The sequence below is a fragment of the Homo sapiens genome, chromosome 8, assembly GCF_000001405.40.
Source record: "Homo sapiens chromosome 8, GRCh38.p14 Primary Assembly".
Lineage (NCBI taxonomy): Eukaryota > Metazoa > Chordata > Mammalia > Primates > Hominidae > Homo > Homo sapiens.
Genome location: NC_000008.11, coordinates 93,155,300 through 93,174,694, shown reverse-complemented (window position 1 = coordinate 93,174,694; position 19,395 = coordinate 93,155,300). Strand labels below are relative to the sequence as shown.

Below are 19,395 nucleotides of genomic sequence, written 5' to 3'. Positions count from 1 at the left end.
TCAATTGTTCAGTGATCCATGTCGATCATGATGACAGCTGAAATTCATTGATTGGATATGTCCTACACAGGCATAGTTGATGTTGGAAAAAGCATTTTTCAGGGAAGCAAGGCCAAGCTTAAGCCAATTTGTAAAACAACTGTCAATTGTCACATGAGTCCTCAGATCGTCTTGTACCCTCAGAGGATTCCTCCAATTCAAATGCCAAATGCTCGAGATGTATCCCCACCCTGAACAAAACTTACTTTCAGAAAATTATTAGTTATGTACATGGTAAGAATTCTAACTTCAGTTATGAGCACTTCAGAATTTTAAGCATCATCTCAATATGCTGAAGGAATAGGAGATTTGGCATGGGACTTATGGACCATCCTAGGCATTTCCAAAATAAAACCTATTGAGGGCTGTAACAAAGAATTAGTCTCCCTCTCCAGGGAAGGATTCTTTACATTAGTGATTTCACATGCATGTCTAAAATTCTGGTTCCATTTCTTAAGGTTTCAAGGATCTTTTTCCTTTTAAAAAAGCTTTCCTTTCTGCCTGAAGGATAATGGATAAGTTTAAACATAATTAAGTATAAAATAGTTAACCAATGTTGTTTTCAGCAAAAAATTAAAAAATAAAATTTAAAAAAGCCCTCAATTGACACAAAATTTGCTTTAAATAGGTTAGTGATGACAATATCTAACTTATGCCTCCTTAGTAGCTTATACCCAAAAATGTGGAGTTGACTTTGATATAGGCCATCAGACAAGAAAGAGAGAGAGAAAGGGAGGGAGGGATGGAGAGAGAGAGAGAGAGAGTCCCTATAAGTTTTCTATCATCCTCCTTTTCTACCTTATAGCACATGCACACACACACACACATACACAAACACACACACACACACAAACACACACACAGAGGCAGGCAAACATAATCTCATCTTCTGTGACATCAATGCCCAGTCAGCAAGTTGTATCTTCAGGGGAGAAGATCATTAGCTAGGTAAGGTCGATAGGTAGAAATCATGGCGATTCTATCACACTTTGTCATGGCGAATAGAGGCTGTCAAAAATGTCTGGAAACAGAAAAAATTTTATTGAGAAAACTTAATTTGTATTTTATGGACTTTTAAAACACCCTATCAAAGACCTACAGAGATTCCATTACTGTATTAGTCTGTTCTCACACTGCTATAAAGAACTACCTGTGACTGAGTAATGTATGAAGAAAAGAGGTTTAATTGATTCACAGTTCCACAGGCTGTACAGGTAGCATGGCTGTGGAGGCCTCAGGAAACTTACAATCATGGCAGAAGGCAGAGGGGAAGCAACTACGTCTTCACATGGCCTGCCTGAGAGACAGAAGGGGAAAGTGCTTCACACTTTTAAACACCAGATCTCGTGAGAACTCACTAGCACGAGAACAGCAAGGTGGATGTCCACTCCCATAATCCAATCACATCCCACCAAGGCCCTCTTTCAACATTGAGAATTACAATTCAGCATGAGATTTTGGTGGGGACACAAAGCCAAACTATATCAATTACTTTTAAAGTCATTATGTTTTCTCATGTTGAACATGAAAAGAACATAATTAATGGCATAACCCTCTGAAATGTTAGAATATTTGTTATGAAGAAAAGTAAAAGAAACATAATATGCTTCATCCTATGAAAATACAGGGGGAGTTTAAAGATCAAGTGATAAAACTATAGAATGAGATGATAATATTGAAGAGGCATTTCAGCATTCCTTTTTCACTTTAGCTTCATTTTTTGATCAAACTTACTTAAAATTAACTTTAAATGCTTTTTAACTTAAAAGCAGTATAAGTAATTTTATGTCCTTCTAATTTCTTATTATTCCCTGGGTACATATGATCATCCCATGTTAACAGTTGTTATTTTGGGATGATAACATTTTGCATAACTACTTTTTTAGTTAACAATTTGTAGATCATAGTATTGTTTGAATTTTAAATAATAAGCATGCATTATTTTTAAAGTACAATAAAGTCATCTAAAAACAATAAAAAAGGAAGTTAAAATCTCTCATAAATTAATTATCTGTGGATAATTATCTGTGGATAAAGAAGTCTGTTGAAATTCTTCTTTGCCAATGACTAACCTAATCATTTGCCAATGATTAGGTTAATCATTGGTAATTTCATGATGTTTCTTACATGTACATAGAGTTGATTCACTCATAATTCTTATTTTCATTTCTCTTCTGTTGCTGTACTGGCACAAAATCATTTTCTTAAATCCTAAAGTAGAAAAAAGTGTGTACAATTCATATACACAATTTAAAGAAAAACAAAGCTAACATCTAGGTCCTTGCCACATAGCTTATAAAATGGAATGCTCCCAGAGATTTTGAAGTCCGACTCCCTAATTTTTTTTCTGCCTTGCTACCTCGTTGTTCATTCTTTGACCTCTTTCTCCCTTGCTTTGCTTTATGAAATCTTCATGTATTTATGTATCAAAAATAAAATACTACTTAAATTTGTCTATTATTTAGTCTTATAAAAACAAGATCTTATATATATAGTCATTCTTCTGTAACACTATTTTTTGAGATACATTCATTTTATTTATTTATTTATGGATCATACTATATACTATATGCTCATCACTATATAATGCTGTATTGTAAGAATATTTCAATTTATTTATACATGCTTAGTGGACAACTGAGCTGGTTCTCAACTTTTAGCAATGAATACATAATGCTGTTATGAACATTCTTGAACATGTTTCAATGTGCATTTGTAAGAATTTCTCTGGAAGTTAATTCTGCCTGAGTGAATTGCTGGGCTTTAGGAGATGTGCATGATAATATTTACTGAAAATGTCAAATGCTTTAATGTGGCTTTTACCAATATGCATTTCCTCCAGCTGTGTTTCAGATGTACCATTAATCTGCATTGTTGGCAACATGTGGTACTGCCTGCCTTAATCCTGCCAATCTGATTTGTGGGAAATTGAATCTCTTTGTGGTTATAATTTACATTGTCGTGATACCTAACAAGGTTGGAATCTTTTAAAATATAAACGGACCATTTTTTTTCTTCTCTTATAAAATGCTTGTTCATAATTTTTCTTGTTTATTTGGTTGAGCTTGTTTGCCTTTTAAAAATATATACTATTAATTTATAGTAGTTCTTTGTATTCTCTAGCTATTAATCCTTTATAGGTTAAAATTGCCAGAAATATCTTCCAGTCATTTGTGGCATACCCTTTCATTCTTTTTATGGTTAGCAGAAGTTATTTTTTCATGCAGTCTAAAGTTTTGATATTCTCTTTTCTAATTTACAATGATCTGCTCTCCTACCCCAATATCAGAAAACACTTGTTTCTTTCTGAAATATTCATATCCTTAATATATCTAATGCTGAGTTTTAGTTATATATTAGTTACAGATTTAATTTATATTTTTATTTACCACTTTTTTGAGTACTCCTTTCTTCATTGATTTGCAATTCAAATTCCACACTTAAGATTTTCATATTTAAGTGGGTCTGTTACTGAGCTCAGTATTTCATTTATTTGCTATATTTATCAATCTGAATAAATGCCACACTGTCTTAATTACTATAGCCTCATAAAAAGTCTTAACAACTGATAGGATAGATTCTTTGTCTGATTTTTCTACAATAGTGACTTGTCCATTCCTGACTTTCTTACCTGCACTATTTTATAATTGTTTTTAACAAATTTTAGCCAAAATTCTTATAGTTTTTACTGCAATTGCTTTAAATCTATAAATCAAATTTAAAATTCTATCCATAAATATAGTATTGATTTAAAATTTTTAAATGTCTTTCAATATAATTTTTATAATTTTATATATGAAGATCATTGATATCAATTGATCAGCATTATTTTTCAGGTATGTATCTGACCATAATATAAATACATAATCTAAATCTAAATATAATATATATAAAGTTTATTTTTTCTAGTTTAAAAGTGAATTTTTCTATACTACTTCTTTGATTACAAGTCTACATATTTTAACATAAATATATTTAAATAAATTGAAGCTTTTATCTTTACCTAAACAGTGCAATAATTTTACAATTCCTTAATTTTGAGCATCCATTACATGATTATAAATGCTGTGTGCAATCAGTATTTATTTAGATTTACTCAAATTTTAATTTATACACATCCTTTCTTCCCATACCTTTTTGTATATTATATTTTATATTTGGGATAAATTCCCTGAGCCCAAAATACATTATTTAAAATTTGCTTTAATGAGAGTCTGTTAGTGGTAAACTCAGTTATTTTTCAGAAAATATTTTTATTTAACCTATGTTCTAAAAGATTTTCAGTGTATAAAAACTCAAATATACTACTATCTCTCAGTACATTGAAAATATTATCCCACTGTGTTCTGTCTTCTATTATTGAGGTCAGGATGTCAGCTGTCAGTCTAATTGCCATCCTTTATAGAAAATTATTTTTCTCCAACTTTGTCTTTGCTTTGTCACTATAATGGGTCTAGGGCTTGTTTGCTTTATTTTTCCTGTCAGAATATGCTGGGCTTCTGAATTGTAAAATTGTTCTCTCTCAACAGTTCATAAAAATTTGTATTTTGAATATTTCCTTTTAGCAATTTCCACAAATATCCTCTCCTAAAACACCAACTAGATATGTTAAAACTTCTCCTTTTATTCTCTATGTCTTTTAATCTTGCTTTAATATTTCCCATTTCTTTCTTTTGCTAGGTTATAGCCCGGGTAATGCCTGGGTTAATATTCCACTTTACAAATAATCTCTTCTGTCCACTCTTCTTTTCAAACTGTTCATTGAATTTTAAATCCTTGCTTTCGTGTGTTCAATTTATAACATTCTATTTGGATACTTTTTCAAATTTGTATGGTCTTTTGAAAAATAGTGTTCTCATATGTTCCTATTTGTGATTTCTCTTTCATATTTTTAAATATTAAGGACAGGAAAGAGTAGCTGTCTGAAGACACTCTCTCATGGGACTTCATTTCCTTGGGTGGTTTCATCACTCTTAACTATAAGCTCATGTTCCTTAGAACTTATCATCTGTGGAAACACTTTCATTCTGGATTGAAGTTGTGTTGCCCTAGAAAAGGACTACTCAGGTATTGTGAATTTTGATTGTAAAGATACATCCAACTTGTGTTTACAAATACTCAGGGACTATATTTATATTTTTCATCACCCAGTGTCAAGGCCTACACAGGCAAATTTCTACTGTTTCTTCTGTGCAATTAGCTTATGTTTTTTAGAATTCTGGCTTCATTTCCTATCAAACCGCCTACCTTGGATTTCTAAACTCTAGGATTTCTCTCTAGTCTACACTGAACATTGTAAAGAATCCCAATATTCATCAACAGTGTATTGGATAAATCAATTACGATTTATCTATGCAACATGCCCTACACATCAAAGAGAATAAACTATTGCTAGTTGCTACAGCATATATTCATGCTTTCAGACAAAATGTTAAATAAAAGGAATGAAACATACTTTTTTTTTTTTTTGAGATGGAGTTTCACTTTTGTTGCCCAGGCTGAAGTGCATGGCACAATCTCAGCTCACTGCAACCCCCGCCTCCCAGGTTCAAGTGATTCTCCTGCCTCAGCCTCTGGAGTAGCTGGGATTACAGGCATGCTCCACCACGCCCGGCTAATTTTGTATTTTTAGTAGAGACGGGGTTTCTCCATGTTGGCCAGGCTGGTCTCGAACTCCCAACCTCATATGATCCTCCCACGTTGGCCTCCCAAAGTGCTGGGATTACAGGCGTGAGCCATCACACCCGGCCAACATAAAATATTTACAACATGCAATTCTATTTATATAAAATCTAAAAATAGCAAAACTAATTCACAGTTTTAAAATCAGATTAGTGGTTACACCTTAGGGGCATTCGTGATTGGGATGAGAGTGACTGCTGGAGGACTAGCTAAGTTTTGTTTCTTGGTGTCTCTGGTATTACACGGGAATTGTTACGCAGGGGTATGTTCACTTTGTGAAAACTCATTGAACTAAACATCTAATCGTTGCTTTTCTGTATGCATGCTATACTTCGATAAGAAGTTGGCTAAATTTTTCTTTTGCTCCAAAACTGTTTATTGTCTAGCCCATTCTTTCTCCACTAATATGAATATTTAACCTGAGAGAGAGAGGGAGAGACAATCAACATGACTGCAAAAACAACAAATGGGACAGTTGCCTGGATCAGCCCCCTCCTGAATACTGGCTCCTAATTCTGTAGTATGCCAGTGGCATTAGGAACACAGGCTTATATTTGCTCTTTCCATGAAGTAATTGCTGGTTCTGTTTATCTCCTTCTGCTTCCTGACACATAATGATTAGAGGTGCAAGCACTGGTGCAAGCATTCTGGGTTGGAATCCAGATGTCATCTACTAGCTAGTTTGGATTAGATACTAACTTTTTTAAACCTCAGCTGTCTCATTAGCAATTTGGGGATCATCATAGCACCTAAATGAAGGGATTATCCTGAGGATTTAAATGAATAATGTGTATAACTCATTTAGCACTGTGTCTGCATAGTAAACTCTGACAGATTAGATATTATTATTATTATCAGTATTAACCTTTCACTTTTTAAAATTTCTTCTTACATTCTCTTTCTCCCTAATTTATTTAGAATAGAGCATCATCTATTTTGATTCTCATCTATCCACTTTCCCTATTCTCACCCTCCTTTCCATCATGCTACAGACCAAAGTAGATGGTGGCAGAGTGCCTGGGTACGTTTATGATTTCCAAGAGTGCTCTTAAAAGCTAACATGCAAATTGAAGAGAGGTAATAGCTTGATCTAAAATGAGAAAGACTTGTGTTCTCACATATTAGACAAAAGCCTTAAAACTTCTCTAGTATCTAGCAAAATAGTCTGTATTTAGATCTGGTATTAAATAAAATATTTTTGACCAGGATGGTGAGAAAAAGTCTGTTCACTTCACATACAGGTCTAGCATACAATGTAATTACAAATAACCTCCCACAGGAGTGGCTGCAAAGGTGGCTCTGTGCAATTAATGGTAATGCTGTGTGTCATTTATTACCTGTGTTATTTAATCTTTAGTCTTCAATTTGTGAACTTCCTTTAGTTATGAAATTTCATGACTAAATAAAAAGAGCTTTGGTGAGGTGGGCATACCAATTTAAAAGTTCTTTTTGTATTATCAGTTTATTGAGTTATATACATAGAATTACACCGATAAATGAGTACACTAACATATTACAGAGTGATAAAGACTAAAAGAACACATTTACATAAAGTTCCTAGCACAAAGTAGGTCCTCAAAAAATGATGAATTCTTCTGAGATCAGATGAGAGTGTTGACCTGGAGGTATAAACTGAGAAAGGAAAGGAAGAAACATCAGGAACCTACTTCTTAACTCCTTAGAATATCCTATTTCCTGACCCAGAGGTGGAGAATGGCCTCAAGCTGGAGACAAAAAAGACCCTGATGTTGGGCTGTGGACCAAATATCCCACTTTACTCAAGATACCATTTCCAAGTCACATACTGTGGTAATTAACGCTATGTTAGTGACACTTCTGTAATGGGTTACAGATTGTTGCTGTGGTGTATACAAAGCTTATTGGATAAATGTCTTTAGGAAAGGAAAAGACATTAGTCTCTTAGTGATCAATAGGATAATAAATTGTGCTTTGTTTCTTTACCTGGATTTCATGTTTATCTTTAGAATAAATGTTAGCTTGCTCACTGCTTCTGTGGTTTCGAGGCTTGCAGTGTTGTGAAACACATAATCTTTTTCTTCACAGTTAGCAAATCCTTAGCTTCTCTGCTGGACAAATAGTCATGTGAGTAGAGAGAACATAAAATCAAAGCAACAAGAAGCTAGGGCAGAGGATTTAGAGGGCAAGCAAGCATGGGCCAGGACTTTGACAGCATTCATCCAGCAGCATGCGAACTCCAAAGAGAACCCGATCTCCAAAGACAAGTAAGTATCCATTTTCTACCCACCAAAAACACCCACATTTTCCCCTCCAAGATGCTCAGGACTCTGTGACTTATTTTGGAGGAATTGTCCCTTTATCACATTGTCAATATTCATAAAATGGCAGGTTTCTGACTACCCAGTACTTAAGAGCAAATACAAGTAACTTTTTAAAATAATAGCAACTTAACTATGTTATCCATTCAGCTCTAGTTCAGATGTAATCAGGACTTAAGATTCTGTAAGAGCCCATGTGGAAATGTTTGTCATTAGCAAGGGTATAAAAGGAAGAGAGGAGAGTTTTGTTGTTTCTTTTCCTCTTTGCCTTCTTTTATCAGAGTAATTGAAACAATCAGCTTCCTGACATCCTAAAAGATAATGATTCAGCCATAAAGAATGGGAAGAGAGGGCGGGGTGCAGTAGGTCACGCCTGTAATCCTAGCACTTTGGGAGGCTGAGGCGGGCGGATCACGAGGTCAGGAGATCGAGACCATCCTGGCTAACACGGTGAAACCCTGTCTCTACTAAAAGTACAAAAAATTAGCTGGGCGTGGTGGCGGGCGCCTGTAGTCCCAGCTACTCGGGACGCTGAGGCAGGAGAATGGTGTGAACCTGGGAGACGGAGCTTGCAGTGAGACGAGATTGCACCACCGCACTCCAGCCTGGGCGACAGGGCAAGACTCCATCTCCAAAAAAAAAAAAAAAAAAAAAATGAAAGAAGGAATGGGAAAAGAGAATGTAAAATACACCTTTATAGCTTTTTCTTTTGATTTTCCTCTCTACTGACCCATTCTGAAAGAAGGAGTTATCTATTACATTCTTTGCCCCACTTTGGTTAGCTGGCAGAAATAGAGAGATTTCTCTCCTTTTCCCTTTTGCCCCCTAGTAAATAAAATCTGTCCAACATTGATTGTAAATGTAGACAATCATCAACAGATTCTTTGAAATCAAAGTTAAAATTAAACATACTCAAGTGTAGCCAGTAGTCCTTCCAGACGAGAATGTAACATGGAGGCATGGACATTATTTAACAAATATTTATGATCTTCCTACTGTGTGCCAGGCACTCTGCTAGCATCTTGAATCAGAATGGAGGTATTCAGAAGGAACAATTTCAAACCAAAGAGGAGGACCAATTGCAAGATGATTTTAATTTTCCTCACAAATGTTATAAAGAGTATGTCTTTTTTAGTAACCTTCCACACAAATGGGTGTGTTGATGAACAAATGCAGATAAGATGTGCATGGCTTTCACTGAGTTGCATTTATATGCCTCATTATTTCTACATAAATATGCCCAGCCTGGCTTTTGTTCACTGCCATTTAGAGTGATGGTGATTAAAGTAAATACAAAAGTACAAATAAGAATGCTTTAAAACAATGGTGTAATCATTACTAATTCATTTTATATTTATTGTAGTATTAGCTCTAATGAACCTTCTTGATATTAATGTGGGTGTTATAAGTACTCTAAATTTTTTACTGTGTCAGTATTAATTAAATGAATGGTTATTATTACCTGTGTAATGGGCCTAGGAGGGATATTATTTTGGTGTTTATAAAAATCAATAGTAATGCTTTAATAGTAAAAGCTTGTTTTTATTTTTTCATGTTGATTATTGGTACTGCTTAATTAATGTGTGCTTATTGTACAATAATATAGTTAGGCAGATTCCAAGCTCGTGATATTCTTGTAAGGTCTTCTCTGCCCACCGAAGACAGAGAAAACCATATTAAAGTAGCCCTGAGATGGAGTAAACTTTTTTTGGTAACTCTTTGAAATTGATAGCCCATGTGTGGTTTATACAGAATGCTCTCAATTAACCAATTATTAGAACAATCAGCATATTTTCCTGACAGTAAGTTAAATAAGCTGATATAAAAAGGCTTGAAAACTATAAATCAGCATTTTCTTCTACTCTACATTGATAGAATCTTTTATAGCATTCAAAAACCTTTCACAACCATTTTTCTACTCATTATTATTATGACAAACTTTTTTTGGTAAGAAGCAATGTACTTAGTTGATTACAGTGAAGGATTCAGTTAAGAAACTAATTTAGAAATCTTGTTTCTGGGGCTGAATCAATATGACTTTAGTCCATATGATTCATCCTAAGGATTAGTGTTATTATTTATAAAATGATACTAAAAGTGCCTGCCTCATAGATTTATGCAGCACCTCACTCAGTAACTGGCATGTCCTTCGCTTCCCATCTGTGTTAACTCCTACAGTTACTATAGACAGTTAGGTGGGGGATGAATGAAGCTGGAGCAGGTTATGGACCTATCTAAGGTAACACGGTTGTTGGTAACAGAAAAGGGACATGATGGAAGACATGCGGAAGGGAGCAGAATAAGGAAGAAAGTGACAAAGTTGGCGGAGTAAACAGCTCCCCCAGGCAGGTAGGCAGTCAGGAACCAGTACCAAAGGGTACGTCACATGTGGGAATTTACTGCCCAAAGTCGGACTCACTCTTATCAAATTTTATATACCTGAATTAACTAACGATTTGATTTAATTCATGAGTTAGCATGAAATACTGGAAGTAAAAAGTAATAATTCTTTCAACAGTACTTCACAAACTGTGTTTTGCATAAAATAGGATTACGATAAATGTCAAAATGTATAAGATATATAATTTTAATGACTTGTTTGTAATAAAAAATTATATTAGTCATGAGTATGTGAACTCTATATATACCAAAATTACTATTGTAAAATATTAGAGATTAGTTTTTACTTAATGTGAAATACCACATGATGTTTTAAATCTATACATATATATGACTTTCTAGATTTATAGATATCTAGAAATACATATGTATATCATACACACATATATGTGTGTGTAGATATATATCAGTTTCTAGATATAAAATATATATTATAGCAATATATATTACTTCAAAAGCAAAAACCAGACTGATAATTATTTAATAGCATACAAAATGCATATAATAGAATTTTTTCATTAAAACATGTTTAAAATTTAACATATTTGGAAAATTAACCTTAATGCATAAAGTATTGTAAAATCTCAATACATATATTAAATAAACACTCTGTTAATTTATGTTACCAAGAGTTTCATTACATGGTGACTTACAGTACAAATTATGGTGTAAATTGAAATACTCTTAATATCTAAGCACAAAGAATCAAAAGTAAAAGTGGGAAATTTCAAATGGAGAGAAAATTGTAGTTGGTATTGGGTTTTTTTCATTTTGTTTTGTAGAGAATACAAGATTTACAACTCATTTAATATTAAAGAAAAATAAGAACCAGATGCTTATTCATAAATAAAGCCAGTATTTTAAATATTGATAAATTACGTGTAAATTACATGTAATGGTTTGTTCTCTAGAGTAGCAGTGAAGGGTGAATGGTGGAAGAATAAAAGGGAGGGAAAATAGTATGAAAGTAGAGAGATAGAAATATGAAAGATATATTGAGGGGCAAAGGAAGTGATGAGAAATAAAGTGTAATTGAAAAGAAGGAAGAAGAGGAAATAAGACATACAGTCATATATTGCTTAATTATGGGGACACATTCTGAGAAATGCATCATTAGGTGATTTTGTAGTTGTGCGGACTTCATGGAGTGTACTTCACAAACCTACATGGTATAGGCTACTACACTCCTAGGCTATATGGTATGGCCTATGGCTCCTAGGTTACAAACTGGTTTAGCATGTTACTGTGCTGAATACTGTAGGCAATTGTAACACAATGGTAAGCAAATGTGTATCTAAGCATACCTAAACATAGAAAAGGTACAGTAAAATTAAGAAATTAAGATAAAAATATGATATACCTGTACAGAGCACTTACTACGAATGGAGTTTGCAGGACTGAGAGTTGCTGTTGGTGAGTGACTGTGAAGGCCTAGGACATAACTATACATCACTGTAGGCTTGGTAAACACTGTACACTTAGGCGACACTAAATTTATTTTTAAAGACTGGGTGCAGTGGCTCATGCCTGTAATCCCAGCACTTTGGGAGGCCGAGGTGGGCAGATCACGAGGTCAAGAGATTGAGACTATCCTAGCCAACATGGTGAAACCCCATCTCTACTAAAAATACAAAAATTAGCTGGGCATGGTGGCACGCCTGTAGTCCCAGCTACTCGGGAGGCTGAGGCAAAAGAATCTCTTGAACCCGCGGAGGTTGCAGTGAGCCGAGAGCGCACCACTGCACTCCAGCCTGGAGACAGAGCGAGGACTCCATCTCAAAAAAAAAACACAAACATTTAAAAAAATTATCTCTTCAATAATAAATTAACCTTAGCTTAACTTTTTAACTTTATAAACTTAAGTTTTAAAAAACTTTTTGACTCTTTTGTAATACCACAGCTTAAAACACACATTGTACAGCTGCAGACAAATACTTCCATTCTTCATATCCTTATTCTGTAAACTTTTTTCTATTTTTAATTTTTTCTTAAATTTTTAAACGTTTTTTTGTTAAAAGTTAACAGAGACACCCACACATTAGAATCAGGATCACCAATATCACTGTCCTCCACCTCCACATCTTGTCCCACTGGAAGGTCTTCAGGGGCAATAACATGCATGGAGCTGTCATCTCCTATGATAACAATGCCTTCTTCTGGAAAAACTCCTGAAGGACCTGCCTGAGGCTCTTCTTGAGGAGGTGTCACTCTTTTCAAAAATATGTCCATGGTGATTTGCTTGCTCTGTTTCTTTTTTTATCATAGGTTTTTGTAATAATGTATTGTGCTGCTATGTGATGACAGCTATGATGTCACTAGGCAAGAGGAATTTTTCAGCTCCATTATAATCTTATGAAACTACTGCCATATATGTGGTCCATCCTTGACCAAAATGTTGTTATGGGGCACATGACCGTGTAGAGAAAGGTGGGCATAATCATGTGGGGGATCCTGTGGGGATTCCCAGAGTGGGTTTCAGGAATTAAAAACCTGTTACAGAGTTTTGTAATAAAAATTAGATGGGAAACCTAATTTGTTAGCTTTTCAACTATTTTTTCATCATAGCTTACTGTTTAGAATAATGCAAAAAGTTATTCTCTGGGATTGTAGATCACAAAGCACTATTAGACTCATATTACAGGTAGGAAAAAAAAAAAGAAAAAAGCAAAACACCAAAACTGGGACACTGTGAGGTTTTCTGACTAGTACAAGTCCCAGCAATGTTGATAATATTTGCAATTTGTAAAACCACTTTCTCATGACAAAGAAAAAGATAAATGGGGAAAAAGGGGCCTCTGTTCAATTATTAGCACAACGATGGTGGCATCTTTATACATCTTCCACGTAAGACTAAGATGCTAAAATAATTCTAGTCTCACTCTATTTCCTGAAGTGTTAAATATCTCTTACACTTTCATGACACCAATATTACATTTTTCTTTTGATCCTACCATCTCTCTTTTGAAGACAAATGTGGCAAAGAAAGAACTTAAATGTCCACGTAATCAAAATAGCTATGGCTATTTAAAAATAATTGCTTCCCAGAGATATCTGATTCAGTAATTATTGCATTAAGTTGTGGATCAGATATTTGCTTCTTGGGCAGAGTGATGTTTTAGAAGCATGAATATTGAATATTGCTATTGATAAACAAAAAGCAGTCTGAAAGGGTTACATACGAGAACATGCCATGTCTCTGTAGCCATGTACGGGAGCTGTGATATCCACACTCAGCAACAATGACCCCTGGGCCTTGTGACATTCCTGTTGATTTCCTCATCCATGTTCAGGGTTAAATGATGTAGAGTCAATATCAAAAGTACAAATAAATAAATTGATTAAAAATTATTTTTAAAATCTTCTAGTTCACTGTGAGTTTCTCATTAAATCTGTGTCATAGTCATACTTTAAGCTATGTTTGATCTCGGTTTCCTTGGTTCTGTTTTTTTAATAACACTTTTATTTTTCCACTGTTCTTCTCAGATGAACAACACCCCTTCCTTTCATACTTGCTACCTGTTTACTATGTTATTTAGGGCAAATTAACAATATACTCTGAGCTTTTAGGTTTTTTTTAATTTTATGAAGTAGGTGTCATGGTATTTGTCAAAAATATTTTTGGTGACTGTTTAATGCATAATCATGTATACTCTTTTGGCCAGGACCTGGCAGACAGCAGGTATTCATACCTATTCCTGGTAGGTAAGTGTTAGTGTGCCTCCTTTGTTTGTATTACAAATGTACTTTTATAACTCATGATGGACAGAAAAGATACCATAGGCTATTACTGCTGCTTCCAACAAGAGCAAATGAAAAGAGGACAGGTTCCTCCACTCACTAGATGCAGCAGGTATTTACAATAATCAGATTGTCTAGAGAGATTTGCCTTTTGCAAGGTACTTCCACATTGCTCCTCATGGAGATCTGACATTTGGATCTAATATCTACATGCTCATTCACCATTAATACCTACCCTGAGGCCTCTCTATTGCTGTCAGTTGGCGCAGTCTGGATTCCATGAAGTACACTATGGATGCTGGATCTTCGATGCAGTCTCTTCAGCAGTTCCTTGGGCTTGAAAGTCTTTGTAACACCTATCTTCTGACGAGTTATCTGTGTTTTAAATGAATCAGCTTGGGTGGAATTCCTTCTGGAAGAATTGGCAATTGCAGTGACTCACAGAAATTTTAGAGTCTATTTTTCGTTGTCTTGTTAAGTTTAGCTTAAAGCTGTCTCCTTACATATTTTAAATTTGGCCTAAATGTTTCTCCACACATAGTGAACTGTGACCTAACTGGATGTGTAAACAGACTATTACCTGATCTTGTAACAAGTAGTAGAGTCTCAGCCAATCACAGGCAGCCAACTGTTCCAACTGTGTTCACATAAGGCAAGCACTAAGCTGTATACCTCACTTTTGTTTTCTGTACTTCACTTTCCTTCTTCTGTCTATAACTGTCATTGGACCATGTGGTAGTCCCAGAGCTGCTCTGAACCTATTTTGGTTCTGTGGGCTGCCTGATTTGTTAATAGTTTTTTGCTCAGTTAAACTCTGTTAATTTTAATTTGTCTTGAGTTTTTTTTCTAACAGTTTGCATAATAATTTGCCGTGTCAAATACTATTTTGTCTTGTGAATTATTCTTTCTTCTTACCAGTGAAGTGGCAAACTGGAGAAAGAATGTCACAATGAAAATCAAATAATTTATCCACAGCTGAATTACTTGGTAGTGTTTTATAAATACTCTTAAATATAGAATAATGGAGATACAGAATTTTAGAGTGAGGAAGGCATTAAAAGTCTTGATTTACCCTAGCTGTTGATCCAATGATTAACTCTCCCTCCACCCAGTCCAGGTGAAGCAGCAGTCCTGCTAGCATCGTGCTAGTTTAGAAGAAACATCACTTCAGTGACCCCTTACACTCACTTGGTCACCAAGAGTTGACTAATTAGCTATTAAATCTTGTGCGACCATCAGGGATAAAATGGTTTCAGGCTATTATATCCAGTTCCTGAAAAATGCCTCCCGTAACTCTCAATTTAAAAATTCATGGTTGCAGAAAAAGAATGAAATCTCATAGTATTAGAAACTGAAGCTTATAGTCAGCGATTTATTGGAGTCTGGGAGGAATTTTTTTAGTTACAGAATTAATTAGTTTCTCTTTCACTTTTCAAGTCTGTTTGAGCTGACTTTCTGAACCTAATCGGTGTCTTTTGGATACTTTAATTTCTGAAATAGAACCAGGTAGCTGAGCAGGTACAATGAAAGGAAGGGCTTCACCCTACTGTTTGACTGTTTTAGAGATACAGGGTATCTAAAAATTATAAACACTGCATTTGCTCCAGGGCTTTCAGTGACCAGATATGGTGCTTCTTTTTATATAGCTACTCAAAGATCACATTCCTCAGTAGACAATATGCTTAAGGTACTGAAGGCAGCGAGAGATACAGAGAGTCAGGAAGAAAATGAAGACTGGACCCTGTTATTTGCTATTCTGTATACAGTATAGGCTATTGTTTTGCCTGTCCAGAATCCAGTCACCTTTTTGGTAATACCTTCTCTGCCTTTTCTCCTCCTCAATCAGTTCTCATTCCAGGTAAAGACACAGGGCCTAGACCTGGTGATTCAAGGCATTCCATTCCTCTGGTGTCAGCAATTCACTTAGAGAGGGTCATGTTACCCATCTAGGTAAGTAGGACTTATTTCTAGGACTTAGGTTGGAATCGTTGGGAATGAGAAGCCTTCTTCTTCTTAGGGTAGCAAACCTGGTAGGAAGTGAGACTGGAGCTGATTTTGGCCTTTCTGAGAATTGTGAAGAGTATTTTCAGAGAATTAAGCCAACACAGAGGATAGCAGAGTCAGGAGATGGAGAGACAACTTACCTGGATCTAGCCATGCTTGAAGACACATCTTGCTTCTCAATTCCTTGAATCAAGCGGTGCCCTTTCATTTAAGTCTATTAGAAACCCACTGGCAAACAAAATATTCACAATTGACACGTTATCTTTCTCATCTCAGCTCAAGTATCACTTCCTCAGTGGAGTCTTCTGTGACACAGCCATAGCCTCTTTCCCCTGTCTTGGCCCTGGCTAAATCAAGTTCCTCTGTTCTGTGCTCTCATGAAATGGCGGTCATCTCTTTTATCTCGCTGTGAGATTATATATTAATGTATGTGATTATTGGGTTAAAATTTATCTTTCCTCTAATAATAATGATAATAATGATGATGGTGATATAATATATATTGAGACCTAACCATGCTTCAGGCATTGCTCTACTTGCTTGTACTGAACATAAACTCTTCTCACACCTGAAAACTGAGAAGCAAAGGTATAGATGTTCCTACCTCAGACCAACAGGGAAATGCTAATCAACAGTGGAAATTGGATTGGGGGATGGAAAAATAAATCGTCAATTCATTCACAACGTAAGATATGAGAATGGGACTGAGAATCTAAAAGTGGATGTTAGGAACACAGGCAAAGGCAAATACAAAGTATACGTGGGTTTATATGTGTAGAGTCATCCTAAGTCAAGGAGGAATTAAAAATAAATACAAATCAATAACATGGGACCTTTGGGGAAAAAAGATTTTGGCTTGAGTAAAATGAAGTATTATTATATCAAAGTCTCAGAGGAAATTACATGATTATAAATGGTTCGTTACAGGAAATAAAAAATAGACTTCTTGTTTTCAACAAGACAGACAAACTCACAGTCTCTATAGAAAAATAACAATAAAAAACCATAAGAAGAGATCAGAATTAGGTGGTAAAATTTAGGCTGACATGCAGAATGAAACTTTAAAAGGCAGATACTTGAAATAACAAAGTAATTATAATAATAAAATAAAAATTAAAAACCATGGAAACCAAAAAGAAAAATCACAGAATTAAAATTCGTATTGGTAATGCAAATGAACAGAATTGATTTTAGAAAACTGGTTCATTTATGTAATGAATCAACTTGAGAGCCTCTTCCAGGATGATGATGAGGAACAGGAAGACATTGCAAGCAGGCAATCTTGGCTGGCTGACCAACCCCATCCTTCACCCCTTTTCCCAGCCACTGACCAGCTGGGGGGTGGCATGTGACCAGTTCTGGCCAGTGAGGCACAAAATTGGTTTGTGAACTACCTCCTTGCCAAATAAAAAGACAGAACCTCACTGGGAGAAGGCCTCCTTCACCTTTTTGCTCTCCCCACCCCATTTCCTATTTGGAACATAGTTATGATACCTGTAGTTACAGCAACCATTTTAAAACCAAGAGGCAACAAGCCAGCATGCTAAGGCTGGCAGAGCAAAGAGATAGAATGAGCCTAACATTGTGATGTTATTTTGTAGTCATTGTGATGCAGGATTTTTTGCTCTTTAGTTCAGCTAAAATCTGGGTTCTTGTCTAACAACCAGGAAAAATTAGGCACGCGGACATATTGAAAGGTGAGGAGAGTGGAATTTATTAAAAGAAAGCTCTCAGCAAAAAAGAAGGGGTCCTGCCAACAGGCTCCTACCTCACAGATTGAATACCAAGAGGCCAGACTCCTCCCCACTGCATAAGGTGTGAATTCTCAGTGGCTCCACCCTATTCTCCCAGTGTGTAGGTGAATCCCCAGTCCATTGCGCACATGCCCAGAGAAGGCCCTGGGAAGGTTCCCTCATTTGCACAAAAACATCTGATGTAAACACTTGTGGGGAGGGTTGAAGACTCTCCAGGGACCCTCGCTTCTCTGCCTCCTGCATCTATCAGCTGCACTGGGCATAACCTGCCAGTCTCTGGACTTCTTGTTGTGTGAAATAAACAGCCCTATTTGTTTAATCCACTCTTTTGCTATATATTCTGTTATTAATATCTGAACACTTTCCTAACTGATAAAGACTAAAAAGTTTCAAGATAGGAAAGCAGACATGGAAGACAGAGGGTTAAGAGTACAGAATTTTCTAATTAAAAACCAGAGGAAACAGAAGGAACAATCAAAATTATGACAGAAGAAAATTTGCCTGACAAAGAAAATATGAGCTAGCTGATCAAAATATGCCATCGTGTATCAGACCAAATCAATAAACATTGATTCACTTTAAGATATAGATGGGACTTTTTTTAACTAAAAAAAAGAGAAAAAACTCTACATGAATCAAGTTAGAAAAGCAGATCATCTAAAACATAATAAGCATTAGAAATAGTCTCCAGTCCTTTGTCTCTGCAAAATCAAATTCCAGAAAAAATGTAGCCATGTCCATAGTCATATTAACAGCTCTGATTTAAATTAAAAACTCAGGGAAATTTTTGCTTGTGAAGACAATAGAAGGATATCTAGATAGGCAAAGGCTCAGGAAAAAAAGCACCATTTTCATATCATTACCAAAGAAAAACGTTTTTGCAAGATACATCCAATGCTGTATAAAGAGAATTAAAAAGTAGAAAACTGGGAAAATTGGAATTATAGCTAATTCTCAATAAGCCTTTAAGTAAACTAAACATGTAGAGTAAGGGTTGGAAAGGTGTACATAGGATTTTATATAAACAGCCTAAGTAATTTTGAAAATTACTGTTCAAATGCAGTTTCTCAAGCAGAGTCCCCACTTTCCCTTACAGTGGTTGGCCATATATCTGCCATTCTGATTATCTTTCCTCCATCAGGAGAATGACTTGAGGAAGAGTGTGTCCCTCCCAGGTTTAGTCCCTGGTGCTGCTTTAGTTATCTCTTGGTTAACATTGGTTCACTATTGTTACTCCCATTGTGGCAGGCATCAAAATACCAGTTTTTTTTTTTTTTTTTTTTTTTGAGCTCAGACATGGGTTCTTTGGAGGGCATCCACAATGTATTACCCATGTCTTTCATTTTCTGTATTCTTATTGACATCTGGGGACTTCCTGAACCTGGAGGGACATTCCCTTACATGGTTAGCCAATTCCTAGAGATCATAAGCAACTCCCTGGTTTAGGAACACGCAAACTGCTTAATCCAGAGCCCACACCC

General features: G+C 35.5%; 2 long non-coding RNA genes across 4 annotated transcripts in view; one reads left to right on the top strand and one right to left on the bottom strand.

Annotated features, from left to right (window-relative positions):
• Positions 1 to 361: 361 nt before the first annotated feature.
• LOC105375644 (uncharacterized) lies at positions 362 to 17,714 on the bottom strand. 3 transcript variants are annotated; one of them, XR_928417.1, is made up of 5 exons: positions 17,655 to 17,714; positions 16,301 to 16,388; positions 14,392 to 14,568; positions 7,684 to 7,805; positions 362 to 1,060 (listed from the first exon to the last, which is right to left on the bottom strand). It is a non-coding gene; the product is annotated as an uncharacterized LOC105375644 (long non-coding RNA). The 3 variants fall into 3 exon arrangements; XR_928416.1 differs by lacking the exon at positions 362 to 1,060 and adding an exon at positions 7,264 to 7,353; XR_928419.1 differs by lacking the exon at positions 362 to 1,060 and adding an exon at positions 7,264 to 7,353 and having other exon boundaries at positions 14,392 to 14,531.
• LINC02906 (long intergenic non-protein coding RNA 2906) overlaps positions 7,845 to 19,395 on the top strand; it is a 32,756-nt gene continuing 21,205 nt past the window's right edge. The window contains exon 1 of the long non-coding RNA NR_161372.1: positions 7,845 to 7,964. This is a non-coding gene — a long non-coding RNA (long intergenic non-protein coding RNA 2906). The remainder of the gene's footprint in view (positions 7,965 to 19,395) is intronic.